Raw genomic sequence first — 18,336 nt, forward strand, 5'->3', positions numbered from 1 at the left:
AGCATTGAGCAAGCATTGAGAATTAAGGAACCTACAGCCTATTCATAGATTCTAACCCTAAGAGGAACGAAATTAGCACTTTGTATGGTTGGGTCATTAAAGGATCTCATGAATTAATACTATCGTGTTTGCATTCTGTTTTGTGAATTTCTGCCTTTATTTTTCTTAATGTCCCTTTCCTACTTTCTTTTGTTTGATTCTCAGTTTTTTTCTTTTTTTTTTTTTTTTTGTTAGTAACAGGGTCTCAGGCCTGGCACCATGGCTCACACCTATAATCCCAAAACTTTGAGAGGCCAAGGCAGGAGGGTGGCTTCAGACCAAGGAGTTCGAGACCATCCCAGCCTCAATTATTTTTTTAATGGACTTTTATTTTAATTATTTTACTCTTTCATATTTAATGTCAAAACCTAAAGTGCTTTTAAAATAGACTACCAGTTTTCCTCTGGGCACAGTTTTAACCTTATCTCAAGTTTTGATATGAAGTATTTTCATTTTCGCTAATCAATATATAATCTGAAATGTCAAATTTAATCTATTCATTGATCTAAGAATTACTTAGAAGAGTTTCGATTGTTTAAATTTCTATGCGATTGTCTTTTAGAGGCTAATTTTCAATATATCTTATTGTTTTATGAAGGAAGCCTGGAAGTTTTCTACTTTTGAAATCTATTAAGATTCTTTTTAGACCAAGTTAATTATCAGTTGTAATTAGCACGTTAGAACATCTAGAAAGTAGTCTTTAAAAAGAGAAGTTCTTCCCCTAGAATACACACACACACACATACACACACACACCTTTGTAAAGAGTTTCAATGAATACTTACAATTCTAGTCTTACCTTAACAAAAGTAAATATTCCAACAGAAAAAGACAACCTATTAAGCTAAAGGGAAAGGAGGCAAACTACCAGAATTTAAGGGTTAAGTTTCTCACATCTGGGAATTCCACTCTGGAATCATAACCACAATAGCATTGCAGCTTTGCAGCCCTATTTTAAAGACGAAAACTGAGGCTTCCAGATCCTGAGTCACATAGAAAGGATTTTAGCTGAGCCCAAGGGTTTCAAGTCCACAAATCCTTTCTGCACTAAATTCAAATTTCATTCCAAAAGTAATACTAAAACAGCAGCTGACCTTCTTCTCTTGTGCCATTCCTTAAGTTTGTTCATCGCACCAGGCAGAATCAGAAGACAGGCTCCTACAACAGCTAGGGCTTTACTCCTGGTAAAGTGGGTTGGCTTAGGAGAAGAACGGACAGGACTCTTTGACAAGCCCCAGAAAGAATATTAAGTCATTTTTCAGCCAGCACCAAGCAAACCTGAAAGATGGGTGGATCCTAGGGTATCCTAATTTTACTCTTCCAACCCTGTCAGTGCTAGTGTCCAAAAAGTGGAGCAGCAAATGGGAAGTGACTGGCATTCAGAAACTGACACAGGATCCTGCATTTCTAAACAATGCTGACAACGCACACTGAGGCAGCACCTCCGGGGAAGTCTCCGTGCTCCGATGCTGTGGCCATGTACAGCATATGCAGTCCCCAAAGGGATATTTCAGCACAGAGTTTCAATGTAAAATGACACACGCTACTGCAGGCTAGAGATCTTATTGGGGACACAGGGCTATATTCATCTGCTTCCCAGCAAGAAAACCAGAAAGCCAGAGATAAACAGAAGTCAATCAAAGCAGAAAGTGACATCTAGAAAAAAAACACCTAATTCTGCCAAACCTGTTTTGCTGAATAAAGATAAGAGCGCTGTGGACAATATGGCTTTGGTATAAGAAATTAAATGATGGCACCATTCCCAAAAGCAACTAAAGCAGTTGACATCGGGCTTGTTCCCAACAGCCTAGAAGGGACTAAGAATGGAAGAACAATGGACAATTAAGAAACTGTTTCTACGGACTCTGAATTTTGCAAGACTAATTATGAAAATAAGCCTTGTTACAGAGTTTCAGCATTTGAAAGTATTACTGTGCTTTACTTCCTACTCTGAAAGGTAAGACTTCCAAATTAAAATATAATTGTCAAATCAATTGGTAAAAAAAAAGTAGTTAAATTAATTCCGCTCCTAGGTATATACTCAACAGAAATGTTTGCATATGTTTGCCGAAAGAGATGTCCAAGAATGTTCACAGCAGCACTATTTATAATGGCCCCAAACTGGGAACTTCCCAAATGCCCATAAACAGAATGGATATGTAAATTGTGGTATATTCCACAATGAAATAATGCAAATGAACAATTACAACTCTGTGAACCAATATAGACATAGGGTTAGCAAACTTTTTGGTAACAGGCCAGATAGTAAATGTTTTAGGCTTAGGGCCCATACAGTCTTTGTTGCAACTACTCAATTGTGCTGTCATAGCACAAAAGCGGCCATAGCTGATATATAAATGAAATGGACATGGCTGTGTTCCAATAAAGCTTTATTTATGATCGCAATTTTTTTTTTTTTTTTGAGATACAGTGTTACTCTGTCATCCAGGCTGAAGTACAGTGGCACAATCTTGGCTCAGTGCAATCTCTGCCTCCCGGGTTCAAGTGATTCTCCTGCCTCAGCCACCTGAGTAGCTGGGATTACAGGCATCAACCACCACACCCAGCTATTTTTTTGTACCTTTTAGTAGAGATGGGGTTTCAACCATGTTGGTCAGGCTGGTAGCAAACTTCTGGCCCCAAGTGACCCACCCACCTCGGCCCCACAAAGTGCTGGGATTACAGGCATGAGCCACCATGCCCAGTCAATTTGTGGACACAAATTTGAATTTCATATAATTTTCACGCGTCACAAAATATCATTCTTTCCTCCCCCCCCCGCCCCCCCCCGCAACTATTTAAAAACATAAAATCCATCCTTAGCTCACAGGCCATATGAAAACAGGCAAAGGACCAGATTTGGCTTGTAAGCTGGGGTTCGCCAACCCTGGACAGAGATAAAACTCCCAGACGCAATGTTAACCAAAACAAACCAGGCACAAAAGAGTACAGACTGTATGATTCCATTTCTAAAAAGAGGCAAAAGTACCTGGTGGGGTTAGAAGTCACGATAGAGACCCTATCCTTGCAGGCATGGGGTCAGAGTGGACGTGGCCGGGATCCCGGGGGCTGGTGGGCTCTGAATTCGGGTGCTGGTTAGTTGGGCGTGATCCCTTTCTGGAGCTGTTTATTCATGATTTCTGCATTCTTTCTCATGCATGTTCTACTTCAAGAGAAGTTTAGCAAGTTTTTATAATAAAGTAGCTTACAATTCAATCAGCTTCAAAAACAGAAGTATAAAGAGAACGAGAGCAATCAAATTAAATTAGTTATGACTTCTTCATGATGGCCAGGTACCTGCCAATGCTAGAGTACTTAAGAATATTTAATAATAATGGCTGGGCACAGCAGCTCACACCTGTAATCCCAGCACTCTGGGAGGCCTAGGTGGGCGAATCACTTGAGGTCAGAAGTCCGAGACCAGCCTAGGCAACAGTGAGACTCCATCTCTAAATAAATAAATAAATAAATAAATAAATAAATAAATAAATAAAAGGTAGATTTAAATTGTTTTCCTCTATTATTGTGTTTACTTCCAGGGTGGAGTTTGTTTCATGGTTTAAGGGATGGTGCTACCATCAGAATCCGGCCAGGCTATTTTCTGCGGCGTCTGCGCATAAAGATGATGTTCACCCAATTACCAGCGACTCCTCGCATGGAAATCTACCATCAATACTATTAACATAAACAGCATCTGGCAAAATACATGGCCTTCAACCTACAGCAAAACCTGCGCTGGACTCTCACAAAGGAAAAAGGCCAGGTCTGGCTTCCATTTGATTTCCAGAGAATACGCAATTAATTATTTTTTCTCACCGTCAGCAGCTGAGTCTCAGTGAAATCCGTGCTTGTAATTATCGCTGTAATTATTATTTTAATACAAATCAGCAACTTATCAAAATATTACGTGTCAGGTGCTACCTCTCTGCTGCAAGACTATGGATGGAAGGTGGAGGCCGTCACCCCAGCTTCACTCTGTGCACACAGAGGATGGGAATCAGGGTGAGGGTACTTCTACCAGAGCCAGACTTTCAGCTTCCTAGATGTCCACGTCCACAGTCAGTTTCACACTCGACCTTTTTTTTACAGGCAATAAGTCACTCTGTACATTCTATGTGGTGGTTTGATCTTGGGCAATTCAGTTCACTCACTGCTAGGTCTCAGTGGTACCATCTTTGCAGCAGGCAAACAGTACAAACCTTTTTTTTTTTTTTTTTTTTTTGGAGACAGGATCTTGCTCGGTCACCCAGGCTGGAGTGCAGTGGTGCGATCACGGCTCACAGCAGCCTCAACCTCCCAGGGTCAAGTGATCCTCCCACCTCAGCCTCCCAAGTAGCTGGAACTACAGGCATGCTACCATGCCCAGCTGATTGATTGTTTTATGTTTTTGTAAAGACGAGGTCCCACTATGTTGCCCAGGCTGGTCTTGAACTCCTGGGCTCCAGCGATCTTCCCACCTAGGCCTCCCAAAGCGCTGGGATTACAGGCATGTGCCACCACGCCCGGCAACAGTACCAACTTTCTGGCAGTGTCCTTCTGAAGAAAACCTAATGGGAGTTGTTACATCTTTCTGTGCGGCACATGCATGGCATTTGACACACAGGCTCCTGAGTCACGCTGGCTGAGTTGAAATTCCAAGTCTTCTCTGTGACTGCAGGTGATTTCTTACCCTCTCTATGCCTCAATTTCCTCATCTGTAGATGGGAATACTATCAGCAGCCACATCATAAGGCTGATATAATGATTAAAATGATAATCTAGGAGACGCTGCTCAGTACAGCACAGTGCCTGCCACGTAGTGACATCTAATAGATAATAGCAATTATTATTATTATCATTCTGAAAGTTGCAAACTCAAACCCCAACAGCCATCTTGTGGGTAACACAGACAAGTAAAGTGACCTGGTGGGCCCGTGTACACGAGGCAGCCACATCCCCCCTCACTCAAATGGTTACCTCTGGGAATGAAGACCAGAATTTCGAATTTCTTAATAGGCACTCTAAATTTGATTTGGATTGGAAATCATTGATTTTGGCTACTAATTCAAGTTTTGATTTTTAAAATTTACCTTTTCTTTAAGAAAGGAGGAAGAGGACCCTATGCTGTCATTATTCCATCTGGAGCCCACACCTGACTCACAAAGCTCTAGGTTTCCTTCTGGCTTACGTATTTCCCATCGCTGCTTTCTAGCACCCACCTTCATTGGAGGGCTGTATCTGCCTGCTCACTCCAATAAACAGTCAGTTTCCTCCAAATGTTGCTGTTGTGCGTTTTTTGTTTGCTTTAATTCTAAAAGAAAGCCAAACAGCAGTCAGCCTCCAGGCCAAAGAAGAATGAATAACCTAACTTCTACCCATTTCTAAACCACCCAGTCTTTCACTGAACATCCTTCCTTAGGAGACGTTTAGCTTAACATCTCTCCCTGCTTTCTGTCTTTAACTCACCTTCTAAACAAGAGAAAATCAGACGTCACAATTTGAAAACTATCCCTCAATAGGGTTACAAGAAAAAGCAGGCAATAAGAGCATTTTACATCCACAACAGAATCATCTGCAATACTTGATGACAAGCAAACGGGGTTCTCAGTGTCTTTCATAACAGCTGCCCCTTTTGAGCTAGGATAAAAGAAAGTGCAAAAGAGAGACAATGAATAGGCTTTTATTTCAAAGAGAACATCTGCAAAGCATAGTCCTCCATTAAAAAATAAACAGAAAACAGCCACTAGTCTGGGGAAAAAAATAAGATTTCCCATTACATCTCTAATTAATAAAGCCCCATTTCAAAAGGAAAAAAGAAGAAGAAAAAAAAGAATAACTTTTTCACATCCCCAAAGAAAGGATGCTTAATGAGGTAACTGTTGTATTACTTGATCCATCTAGTCTGGTTTTAATACTATCCTTAAATAATGTATACATTAGCTTTCCATTACCAAAAACATTTGTTTATTTTATGAACGTGAGTCTGGTTGAGAGCTGAGACTCTGCAAAATTATCATGCCGTCCTTGGGCTCCCGGCTTTTATTGCTTCTCCCCTCGCTCATTATGAAATGATTAGTTGTCTCCGATGCCCTTTTGAATTGCTGCTAACGTTGTACTGCGGTTCTGTTACCCTGGTTCTGAATAGGAGAGTCTTGGTTCAGGGTTAAGTTAATGTAGTCATTACTGGCCCATTTGGGGACCCATTCATCATGCTAATTTCATGTCCAACACTTGGGGGAATAGAGTACAAATACTCAACGTGAAGCAAATGCACAGTGAATCCAAAAGACGCACATGAAATGTCCAGAACTCAGTCACAGAAGACAGGCATGGGGAGCTCTGGGGCCATTACTTTCCATAACTGTGGGAGCAATGCAGACATCAGAGAGGGCCTCCAATGGGGAATTCCTTTCCAAGGGACCCAGAGCACAGTTCCTCCTAACATCTAACTTTAATCCTTTCCACTTGAACTTCAGAACAAAACAGCACAGCTGTTTACCAGAGGAGCAAAGACTCTTCAAACTGGTTAAGTTGACATTGACCAAACCTTGGCCATCTCAGCACTTCCTTGATCGTCATTAACCAACCAAGCTGCAATCAGGATTTGAAATCCAGTTAGAGTTTGCTTATGTGTTTTCATTTTGTTAACCCACTTCTTCTTACTTAAATGCCACTTTACCTGCATGTTAAACGAGAAGAGTGTTGAAGCTGCCGTTTTGATTGGCTGGTTATATTTCTGTATTTTCCATAATATACATTTAAAGAAATATACAGCGATTAATAATTTCTTTAAATATTCACCCAAGAAGAAGAGAGTGCATCTGGGATGTTGTCAGTGCTATGATTCCTGGTCTAGGATACTCGGATGTGTTCAGTTTGTGAGAATTCATCAAGTTGTATATTTAGAGTAATGTTTGTATCATATGGTTTTGTTGGGAAAAAAGCAACTAAAAGAACGCAGGCAATATTTAAGAAGTGAGCCAGACGTGGTGGCTCACGCCTGTAATCCCAGCAGTTTGGGAGGCTGAGGTGGGAGGATCACTTGATCCCAGGAGTTCCAGACCAGCCTGGGCAACATAGCAAAACCCCACCTCTTCAAAAAATACAAAAATTAGCCGGGCATGGTGGCACGCACCTGTAGTCCCACCTACTCAGGGGGCTGAGGTGGGAGGACTGCTTGAGCCTGCGAGGTCAAGGTTGCAGTGAGCTGAGATCAAACCACTGCATTCTAGCCGGGGTGACGTAAGGAGTCCCTGTCTCAATAAATTAACAAATAAATTTAAGAAGTGAATAAATGTTGTACAGATACGAATAGTAACTTTTTATAAAGAGTTTTTACAGAATATCTGCCCTTGTAGCACCTCCAACCACTGGTGCATCACGATTGGTGTCTATACCATATTTTGGATTCCTGGGGCTCGTTTAGGACTACTATGGCAAAAGGCATGATCCAAAATAAATCCTTACCCCTGAATAAGTAAAATAAATCCACCCATCCAAAACAAATGCTTATCCACAGCTCTTTCTTTTCGTTCAGCTCCCTAATGGTTTCCTTCGCTGCATTTGTAACAATCTGATTTTTTGCAATGTTCTTGTTTGTTTTTATTGGGAGGTCATCCTGCCCCCAAACCATAAAGAGCATGAGGGCAGGGTCACATCTGTCTTTCCCCCTGCTGTGCATAAGGCCTGGCACACAGCAGACCCCAACCAGTATCTGATGAATGAATGGATGAGTAGGTGGGAAATTTCCAGTGGATTTCACTCATTCATTCTCTCCCTGTCCCCCACGGGTTACAAGACGCTGTGAGGAAGGAACGCAGACAACCCCGTCTGAACACTCCCACATTGTGCTGCTTGAAGACATGAGCCCCGTCTTCCATTCACATGGGGCTTTCTGAGCTTCAAAGCACTTTCTCATCTGTTTATCAAATTTAATCCTCACAACCCAGGGAGGGAGGCAGGCTTATTAGCATCATCTGATGAAGTGCCAAAAAGACACAGAGATGAAAGTCACGGTCCGTCCCTGACAGCGCTGGGACCAAGCCAAGGTGCTCAGGAATGTTCTACTTTTCCACCTCCCCCTTGTCTCTAAAGACTCCCAACTTCCCAATGCGTGTTATTGGGGGACAAGGTCACGGGAAACACAGAGTGAGGGGCAGATGACTCAAAGGAGGCTGTCACTCACACTCCCTGCAGAGGGGAAACAGGTTTATCAAATTGCGGAATGCATGATTCTATTTCTGTCGGGGACATTTGCCTTCAGGATGGCCTCATGCTTATAAGAATTTGCATATTCTGGGTCTCCACCACCAGCTAGGCGGGGAGGGAGACTCCATCATGCCAGGGCAAGGCACAGGCAGTGAGAGGCAAATAAGTGCAGTGAATAAGCCACATGGGAATAGGGTAACCACAGATGCTCATTTTTATGTCTTCATAGTGAACACGGAGGTCTTCCAAATGGGCTGCAAACTCAACAGCCAAGAGGGGCCAGCCAGGTGCCACAGGTGACAGGAGAGATCTTAGGGGGACTCTTAGGGACCCAGTGGGTCTGCAGTATCACCATTCCTCAGCTTGGCTGTTTAACACCAAGCAAGCACCGTGGACCCTGTATTGCCGGATCTTATGACTTTTAAAAGAATTCCAAAAATCTACGCTGTCTCACGGCATATCCTAATCTTTAAATTCCAGGGCCTATTTATTCTAACACACCGTGTGGACAAAATCAAACCCACCCACGGGCCATGGATTTGAAAGTCCTCCTGGCTCTAGCAAACATCTCCTACGATGTGGCTGCATCAGGTGGCAGAGCAGAGCACTGACCATGACCCAGAGCTGTGCCTCACCATCAAGCCCTGCCAGGTAGGTGCCATCATGGCCCCTGTGCTTCAGACAAGGAGACTGAGCTCCAGAGAGGCAAAGTGCCATACCACCGATGATGTCAGACCACTGTCTTCTTCCTCAACATCACACGACCTGCCTCCCAGGCCCCACAGCATCTGCCCATCTGCTCCCCTGGATCATTTCCAGGGTTGTTTCATGAGCTACAAGAAGAAGAGCTTGGGCCCCATGAGCAGAGCAGCCCAGGCCTCATGGACAGTTCTGGGATGGCAGAGACCTCAGGGCTCCCAGGGCTCTGAATCATACTACTTACTCCTTGCCCTGACCTTCCCAGAGGACACCTCCCTTGTGTGTTCAAGAGGTCACCATGGGAAAGGGTATAGGCAATGAACCAGGCTAGGATGTGAGAGTGATCTCCCTAGAGATCGGCCACTTATCAGCACGGGCTCTAACTCTTGCCTGCTAGACTGGTCCTCCTGGAGGGCAGGAGGCACATTGGTCCTGTTCACCAAGGTGGTTCCAGTGCTGGACACAGGGACTGGTACCTTCTAACTGCAGGAGTGGAGGATGGGTAGATAGGTGGATGAATGGATCGATGGGTAAATGGATGGACAGATGGATGGATGAATGGACAGAGGATGGATGAATGGACGGATAGATGGATGGATGGATGCTTAGACAAATAGATGAATGGACTGATGGATGGATGGATGGATGGATGGGTGGACAAATGCATGCATAAATAGATGGAGGCAGGGGGAGAATGAGGGGCTAGAGTCAACGGACTTACTGACTCTGAACTGGGTAGACTGAGAACACAGCCTTTGGAGACACCACCCAACTTCAATTTCTAGTTTGGACACTTCACATCTGCTTAATTTTCATCCAACTTATTGCCTTAGTTTTCATTATTTCAATCAGTAAAACAGAAATGAAAATAATAGCTCTTAACTTGCCAGATGTTATAAGAATTCAATAAAAGCATGTCTTTTTAGTCCTTCCACAGTGTTTGGTGCATTCGATAAATGCACCTCATCATCACCATAGTTGCAATGTTTGTGCCTCCTGGGTAGGGAACATTTGCATCAACCTCTCTGCCCCACAAACTCATCTTAAACTGAAACCACACATCTTGTGGCCAAAAATTATGGCAAAGCGTGCCCTGGGAGGAGAAACAAATGCCTCTTACCACATTACCTCATTAGCATCCACTGACACATTAGCCTGGATTAGATGTCCAGATAAGCAGTAGTCACCTGGCTGGGACAAACTAGGCCTGGGACAGGACAAATCCATTCATTGCCCCTAGGTGGCCCTGAAAGATGAGACACCCTCGTCCACACACACAAAGCTTGAGAATGGGTCCCACCCCTTCCTCATCTGGCAGGGTGTCTGGGTTTGCAGTTCCTGACACTAATAATGCCAGTGTCCAGGTTCAGGGCTAAGGTGACACCCCACCCCACACCCATCTTCTTTGTGATGCCTCTGGCTTCCAATCGGGAAGGGGGCAACCGAACCCAGAGAGCACATGGGCACCATCTGATGAGCATCTGCGGGCAAACGGGTAGTTTCTGTTGCAGGCGGAAGGAAGTGTCCGCAAGATGATCCGCACTGCATGTTTATTGAGGTAACTCTCCAGTGTGCTGCAGACCCAGGCTCTCAGGTACAAGTGGCGGGCTCCTCAGTGGGCCAACCACAGAGCGGTCTGAAGGAATGGAGCAGCAGGAAGTCTGTTGTGGTTGAAAGAAAGGCCATTGTCCCCGGCCAAAGAACCCTGAACAATATCCTCTTGCCCCCTCCTCCGCTTCTCCCTTGGTTAGAGAGAGCTGAATTCAAGACTCCTCTCTCTAGCCAATTTCAACTTCCATTCTTGACTGTTGAAAATATAATAGTACACAGCTTGAAGGATTAAATGAGTTCATGCACAAAGAGGGTTTAGAACAGTGCCTGGCAAACAGAATAGAGAACGCAGAAATAAACCCACACTTTAATATCAACTCATTTTTGACAAAGGCTGGGGAAAGGAAAGTCTTCGATAAGTAGTGCTGGAAAAACGGGATAGCCATTACCTATGGATAAACTTAAGAATGAAACTAGGCCCCATCACTCACCATACACAAAAACCAAATCAAAATAGATTAAAGACTTAAATCTAAGACCCGAGACTATGAGACGACTAGAGAAAAAAACATTGGGGAGACACTTCAGGACGCTGAGCAAGAATTTTTTTTGGGTAAGACCACAAAAGCACAGGCAACAAAAGCAAAAATAGACAAACGGGATCACATCAAGCTACAAAGCTTCTGCACGGCAAACAATCAACAAATTAAATAATCTACAAAATGGAAGAAAATATTTGCAAACTACCCATCTGACAAGGGATTAATAACCAAAATATATAAAGAACTCAAACAACTCAACAGCAAAAAAACAAGTAGTCCAATTTTTTAAACAGGCAAAAGAGCTGAACAGATATTTCTCAAAAGAAGACATACGAATGGCCAATGGATATATAAAAAAATGCACAGCATCACTAATCACCAGGGAACTGTGAGTCAAAAGCACAGTGAGATATCATCTCACCCCACCTGAAAGGGCTTTTATCAAGAAGACAAAAAATAACAGACGCTGGTGAGGATGTGAGAAAATGGAACACTCATACACTGTTGGTGGGAATGTAAATTAGTACAGCCACTATGGAGAAGAGTATGAAGGTTCTTCACAAGCTAAAAACAGAACTACCATATGATCTGGCAATCCCACTACTGTGTCTACACAGGAAAGGATTAATTATCCAAAGGAAAGGAAATCAATAAATCCAAGAGCTATCTGCACTCCCATGCTTACTGCAACATTCTTCACAATAGCCAAGATATGAAATCAAGTTAAGTGCCCATCGGTGGATGAATGGATAAAGAAAATGTGGTAAACACACACAGTGGAATATTAGCCAGCTGTTAAAAAGTGAAATCCTGTCATTTGCAGCAACATGAATAAACCGGAGGCCATCATACTAACTGAAATAAGCCAGGCACTTAGAGACAAATATCACATGTTCTCACTCCTATGTAGGAGCTAAAAAAAGTAGATGACAAGAAGATAGAGAGTAGATAGGTGATTAGGGGAGTAGGGAGGAAGATGTTGATTGGAAGGATAAAAATCCAGTTAGATAGAAGGAATAAGCTCTAGTGTTTGGTAGTCCAGTAGGGTGATTATCATTAACAATAATCTATTGTATATTTCAAAATAGCTAGAAGACCCGGGCACAGTGGCTCACATCTATAATCCCAGCACTTTGGGAGGCCAAGGCAGGCAGATCACCTGAGGCCAGGAGTTTAAGACCAGCCTGGCCAACACGGCAAAACCTCATCTCTACTAAAAATACAAACAGAATTAGCCAGGTGTGGTGGCGGGTGCCTGTAATCCCAGCTAATCAGGAGGCTGAGGCAGGAGAATTGCTTGAACCTGAGAGGCGGAGGTAGCAGTGAGTCAAGATTGTGCCACTGCACTCCAGGCCGGGCAACAGAGCAAAACTGTCTCAAAAAAAAAAAAAAAAAAAGGAGCTAGAAGAGAAGAATTTCAGTGTCTCTGACAAAAAAGTAAAGATAAATGTTGGCGGTAATGAATATCCCAATTACTTTAAGTTAATCATTACACATTATATGAACCTATCAAAATATCACATGTACCCCAAAATATGTCAAACTATTATATATCCATTTTTAAAACCACCTAACACATCATAACTGCCATGCAGTCATTATTATTATTATTATCATTATTACTACCCTTGTATTTGCATCATGAGTTAGGGGTCTGATTCAATATAAATTGCATGTCTGCTTCTTTTCTAGGGTTGGTAACTTTTTAGGAATCTGCAACAAGAAGTGAGAAAAGTAGAATAAAGATTTTTGGGGCTGGGCAAAGTGGCTCAGGCCTGTAGTCCCAGCATTTTGGGAGGCCGAGGCGGGCGGATCACGAGGCCAGGAGTTCGAGAGCAGCCTGGCCAACATGGTGAAACCCTGTCTCTACTAAAATACAAAAATTAGCCAGGCGTGGTGGTGCACGCCTGTAATCCCAGCTACTCAGGAGGCTGAGGCACAAGAATTGCTTGAACCTAGGAGGCGGAGGTTGCAGTGAGCCGAGATCACGCCACTGCCCTCCAGCCTGGGTGACAGAGCAAGATGCTGTCTCAAAAAAAAAAAAAAAAAAAAAAAAAAAAGATTTTTGGGAATGCATGGTTGCATTTAGGGTTTTTCAACAAACCATGCAAAAGGAACGCAACTCGGAAAGGTGGCATCTTTGGAAAGGGGCAGGCCTGGGTTTGGATCTCAGTTCTGCTACTCCCCAGCTCTGTGAACTTCATGAGCAAGCAGCTTCACTTCTTTGAGCTTCAGTTTCCTCCTGGGGACAGCAAAAGTCTTATCCCACAAAGTTGGGAGAAATCAGTAAGACAGTAAGGTAACATTTACAAATCCCTCCATTATTCCTGCCACATAACAAGCCATCATAAGACCAGCGATTTCTAGTTGGGTGTCCTTAGTTTTAACTTTTTATCAGTTGTGTAATACCGTCTTCCTTCCTGGAAATTTTTTGTGTTTTTTTTTGGGGGGGGGGGGGGTGAGCATTTAATAACCTAACGTATGCAAAATACCTAAATGACACCTGACATACAGCAGGCACTCAATAAATGTCAGTACTCCTTCCTCTACCACATTCCGTCCTGCTCACACAGAAACAGCTATATTCATTCTACTGCCTTGGATTTACTCGCACCCTACACTGTACGGGAAAATGAATAACTGCAAGAAATTCCTTATTTTCAAACATACCAAGAATTTCCTTTTAAGAACAGCTCATTTTTGAACACTGATTAAGGAACAGGCCCACATGAGTTCACATATATTGCTACATTTCATCCTCATACAGCCCTATGAGGTAGCTCAGATTCACAGAGGACCGAAATTACAGTGACTTGCCCAAGATTAGGGGCATGAGAAAGGGCCGAGCCAGGAGGTGAACCCAGGTATGTCAGGCCTGAGGGTACTCAACAGAGGCCTCTTTCATTGGTGCCGGGGCCTCGCACATACTTGTTGGGACGTTTTCTCCTGTTCCCACACCCCTTCCTTAGAATGCAGGTTTTGTTAAGATCGAGTTTGTTTTTTAGTTATTTTTTATTTTCCCCAAGGCATTTTCTCTTTGTTTCTGGTAGATGGGGATCTGGGTCCGCAGAAATGGGGAAATGCAAAGGAAAAGGAAAGAGAGAGATCATAAGTGGCAGCTCTTAAGGTAGCACTGGTCAAAAGATAGAGACTCTCAACCTCACCTGTGCAGTCCAACAGGTGTGTGTGTTAAGTTCTTCTGCACTGAAACACTCATATAGATGGATTTATGACCTTATGGATCATAAACAGCTCTGGAGCGGGGTGTGGGGGGCAGACTCTTATGTCAGAGATATGCCTAAGGATATCTTTGCTTTCTGAGGATACACACACACATACACAATGACGCGATGATGTCAAATCTCTGCTTTAACTCAAGCCACCAAATTTCCTCTTCTATTAAAACCATGAATCAAACTTGAACAGTCACCAGTAAATAAGAACTTACGCCATGGCTGGCTTCCTAGGTGAAAAATAGCAAGCCTTTGACCACCCACCCTTCTGGAAGATTTTTAAAAAATGAATTGATAAACTGAAGAGAACGTCTAAAGTATGAAAAGACCGGAAGGAAAGTGAATACATAGATATATTAGAATTCATATTACAAACATATCTATACCTACGTATATTATTTCTACTTTTATTTATCTATTTTAACACTTTCCATGATAAACAGATGGCAACATTTGCAGTAAGATAAATATTATTCAATGATGCATATTTCTGTATACAAAGTGTAATGCGTCGCTCAAACAAAACAAAACTCCATTGAAAGTGTGAAAAAAAAAACGAACCATCAATAACATACCCTGTTTTCTGTGGTCTCAGAACATCTGGATAGGAAGAAAAGCTATACCTCCAAGGCTGTTAGAAGCAGAGGTGATCTAAAGCCAGTGAACCGATCTTTCAAAGTCACTGCTGATGTCTAAAAGAGTCCTGAGTTATCTGAGTAATGTGAAGCATGAGGAATTTCTGCCGAAAAATCAACATTTCAAAGGCGTCGGATAATACAGAAACCCCATTCTACTTTGTGTGCTTATGTAGGGCGGCAGGCGGGGGGTGGGAAGGGTAATAAAAAATTAGATTTCTTAAATGAAACTTACTGAGTAACAGTTTATCTAAGAACACGAGCAATAAATGTGGGGACTTCAAGAAGAGTCACTAAGGGAAAGAAAATAAACATTCATTACATTAACACACGCAGCTCTCTTTCATTTTCTCCAAAATCTATTCAGAACCTGTAGGCTGATCCTTGTGACAGTTCTCCCAATATTTTTCCTCCCTTTATAAGGGAGTCCATCTGTTTCTTAAATTCTGAGATGACAGTAAAATCCACAGCTTACTGGAGACCCAGTGAAGGAATCAGTGTCAGCCACAAAACAGCTGCAATCCACCCAATAATTCTAATATTTAAGAGCTTTAAAAGAGGCTGAGAGGAAAAGGAGAGCTTGCAAATCTTTTATGGACATGCCCTCTGACTCTGTCTACTTGAGAAACGGGGTGTTTCCTCTTGGCTTCTTAAGTGCACCAAAAATACAATCAGGGCCTTCCACCGAAGCGCAGCTCCCCAAACATAAAAAGGACAAATGCTCTGAGGCTGTGGGCATCAGGAAGGAGGAAGATCTGGCTTAGGAAATGCCCTATACACAATGCCTGCCTGACACTCTCTGCAACACACCCACCAGCAACCCAGGACACAGGTTCCCTCTACATGCAAGAGCCAAGGCTGTCCACCCACCCCATCCCCACCTGCAACAGAGCACTGAGCTAAAGCATCTTCTTCTAAGCATGTGTCTAACCACCTCTCTACAAGAGCCATCTGGAAAATCACGGGGATTTGTTTCTTTAAATGTCCCACTCCTGAATCTCCCTCCAAAGCATCATCCTGGCAGCCTCCGCAGGGTCTGGAAACAAACTGCACATTTCAACGGCCTCTATTGCTTGCGAAAAGGTCTGGTCCTCTCCTTGCCTGCAACCCAAGCTCCAGCTATACCAGACTTTGGGAACAGCCTGCCCCCTTCTGGTCTCCTGGAGCTCCATGGAAGGGCAGGAACTGGGTGGGCACAGTCAGAGTAGGACAGACCCCGGGCTCCAGCCAGCCTGTCTGTACTGTGATTTCAGGATTTAGCAGGTCATGGAGTAGGTGTGGGGGGAGAGGAAAGAAAGGAGACAAGCAAATGAAATAAAATACAAAGCCCCAAGAGACAACAGTCAACAGCATGGTAGACAGCCACCAAGAAGAGAAGAGAACCAAAAGAAAAAAAAAATACATAAATGTCCATCTTGGAAGGTAAAGAAATTGAGACATTAGGACATGCAGATTTGGGGAGAGTAACTGAACTTGCAGTTGGAAGCAGAGTTTCAGAAAAGCAAAGCACCTCCGCTGCTGGAACTGCAATTCCAAAAGGAAGTAAAAAGGAAAATAGTGTGTTCCCACCTACCTCCCCAACCGCAGATCTCTCAGAGGCTGAGCTGGGTGTGAGAGAGTAAAACACTGAGCCGAGCACACAGAGAGGGGCTGGGGGTGGATGCTCACAATGCCGGGGACCTATGAAGAAATCAGCTAGCCCTGCCTCCTTCCTTCTCTTCATTTGTTTCAACAGGTGCTACATGCATCCTAAAGGTACCTCCTGAACCCACTCTGACCCCCAGATGCAAATGATACAGTAAGCCCCAGGCTTCCCCCACCATGTCTCCCCTACACGTTCTTACACTGGACCAGCAGGACACGACCCACAACCCTCCCACCCCACCTCCTGGGCTCTGGATGCACAAAGAACTTCTAATTGCATTTCTGCGGGAACCCATCACTATCAACTCCAAGAGTTCAAAGGCAGCGTTTCAGAGTACCCCTCTCTGTAAAGAAGAGATCGCAGGACACTAGGAATGTTCTGGTTCTCCGTCAGGCAGCTCACGCCACTATTCTCCCCGCAAATGAGGGAAAGACTTCTCCCTGCTACCCACACAGCAACGTGAAATGCCATCACATCACGTCTTGGGACTGGCTCAGTTCTCAGGCATGAAGAGCTGCACTCCGGCAGAAAGGGTCGCACAGACTCCGAAGAAGTTTAGCAGCTCAGAAAGCATCACGCTGTGTACTAAGGCAGTCTTCAGTGAGGACTTCCAAAGTGACAAATGATAGAAATATGCATTCAGTCTTCAGGATCCTGAAACCATCCCCCTGGTGTCTAATATCCTTTAACGGCTAGGCAAATCCTTGCAGACAAGTAGTGTGATGAAGAAACAGACAGACACACAACACATTGGCTATGCCCTAAGGCAGAACTCACGCCCCTGGAGAACTGAGACCTTGGCTCTGAAATGGGGACTCCGGCCTCCTGCCCCATGTGCTCCTGCTCCTAGCTCAGTAGGCTGGGCAAGGCAGCCCAGAGAAGGTGGGAAAGGTATCCCTGGAGAAGTTAGGGACAGGGTAGGAAGACAAGTCAGTTCCCCACCCAGCCACCCAGATGGCCCCAGATCTGCGGAAAAAACAGTTTCAGAGCCCTGACTGTTCACACCCACGAAGGGCAAAGTAATCCCATAGGAGTGGAAGCCCTGACGGTGTGGTCGGACACACAGCTGGTGACCTGAACCGGCCGCAACAAGACAGAAAGACAGAGACAACCAGCTAGGAGAAGGAGCCATGCCCTGAAACTGGAGATGGGGAGGAGATAAAGTCACAGAGGGCATGGGAGACGGCAAGGTTAGAGACAGAGAAGGTGAAGACGGAAGGCTCAAACATCCAGAGAAGAGAAACAGAAGACCCAAAGTAAGACCAGACACCCCGGACTGAGTATTGATTCAGGGGCATGGTCGGGGACTTGGGACGCCCAGCTCAGCCCTCATCGCAGGCCAGGACGAACAGAGGGCTCAACTGTCTGCACCCAGCTCGGCAAAAACCAGAGAGATGCTGCTGCGACAACCGCCCAGGAACAGCGGCTGAGGATCCGGGGAGATCCACTCACTCAGGCAGGGAGCGAGTCACCAAGACCTACACGCACGGAGCAAGTCACCTGGGGTCCCCAGCAAGAGTGATGGGGAACAGGAACCCAGCCAGGCTCCGGTAACCCCCAAAGCGCCCCCGCTGGAGAAAACTTCCCCCAGACCCCAAGGGGTCCGTGCTCAGACTCTGAAAGGGGCAGCCCACGACCCCTGAGCCTTGGCAGGGACCCCACCCGGCTTCCCGGGGCAAGAGGCGATGTGGAGTCGGTAGGCTTGCAGAGTCCCAGTCTGATGACCGAGTTCAAGGGCTAGGGGGGCGTGGGGTCGGGCTGCCTTCCTCCCTCCCTCGCCGCGGGGCGCGAGCCGAAAGGGCATC

General features: G+C 44.4%; 1 protein-coding gene and 1 long non-coding RNA gene across 4 annotated transcripts in view, besides 4 other annotated features; both read right to left on the reverse strand.

Annotated features, from left to right (window-relative positions):
• The window catches only part of XYLT1 (xylosyltransferase 1), a 369,192-nt gene that overhangs the window by 350,325 nt on the left and 531 nt on the right, over positions 1 to 18,336 (reverse strand). The window lies entirely within an intron of this gene.
• On the reverse strand, positions 379 to 18,334 carry LOC107987234 (uncharacterized). The gene is made up of 2 exons (XR_001752091.2): positions 15,122 to 18,334; positions 379 to 14,990 (listed from the first exon to the last, which is right to left on the reverse strand). It is a non-coding gene; the product is annotated as an uncharacterized LOC107987234 (long non-coding RNA).
• Positions 10,032 to 10,081: an enhancer, noted in NCBI's record as "active region_10509". NCBI's record gives its function as "activates an Ori minimal core promoter by ATAC-STARR-seq in GM12878 lymphoblastoid cells {active_cell/tissue: GM12878}" and the evidence as "EXISTENCE:reporter gene assay evidence [ECO:0000049][PMID:35858748]".
• Positions 15,982 to 16,051: an enhancer, noted in NCBI's record as "active region_10510". NCBI's record gives its function as "activates an Ori minimal core promoter by ATAC-STARR-seq in GM12878 lymphoblastoid cells {active_cell/tissue: GM12878}" and the evidence as "EXISTENCE:reporter gene assay evidence [ECO:0000049][PMID:35858748]".
• Positions 17,647 to 17,916: an enhancer, noted in NCBI's record as "active region_10511". NCBI's record gives its function as "activates an Ori minimal core promoter by ATAC-STARR-seq in GM12878 lymphoblastoid cells {active_cell/tissue: GM12878}" and the evidence as "EXISTENCE:reporter gene assay evidence [ECO:0000049][PMID:35858748]".
• Positions 18,037 to 18,086: an enhancer, noted in NCBI's record as "active region_10512". NCBI's record gives its function as "activates an Ori minimal core promoter by ATAC-STARR-seq in GM12878 lymphoblastoid cells {active_cell/tissue: GM12878}" and the evidence as "EXISTENCE:reporter gene assay evidence [ECO:0000049][PMID:35858748]".

This window comes from Homo sapiens, chromosome 16 (genome assembly GCF_000001405.40).
Source record: "Homo sapiens chromosome 16, GRCh38.p14 Primary Assembly".
NCBI lineage: Eukaryota > Metazoa > Chordata > Mammalia > Primates > Hominidae > Homo > Homo sapiens.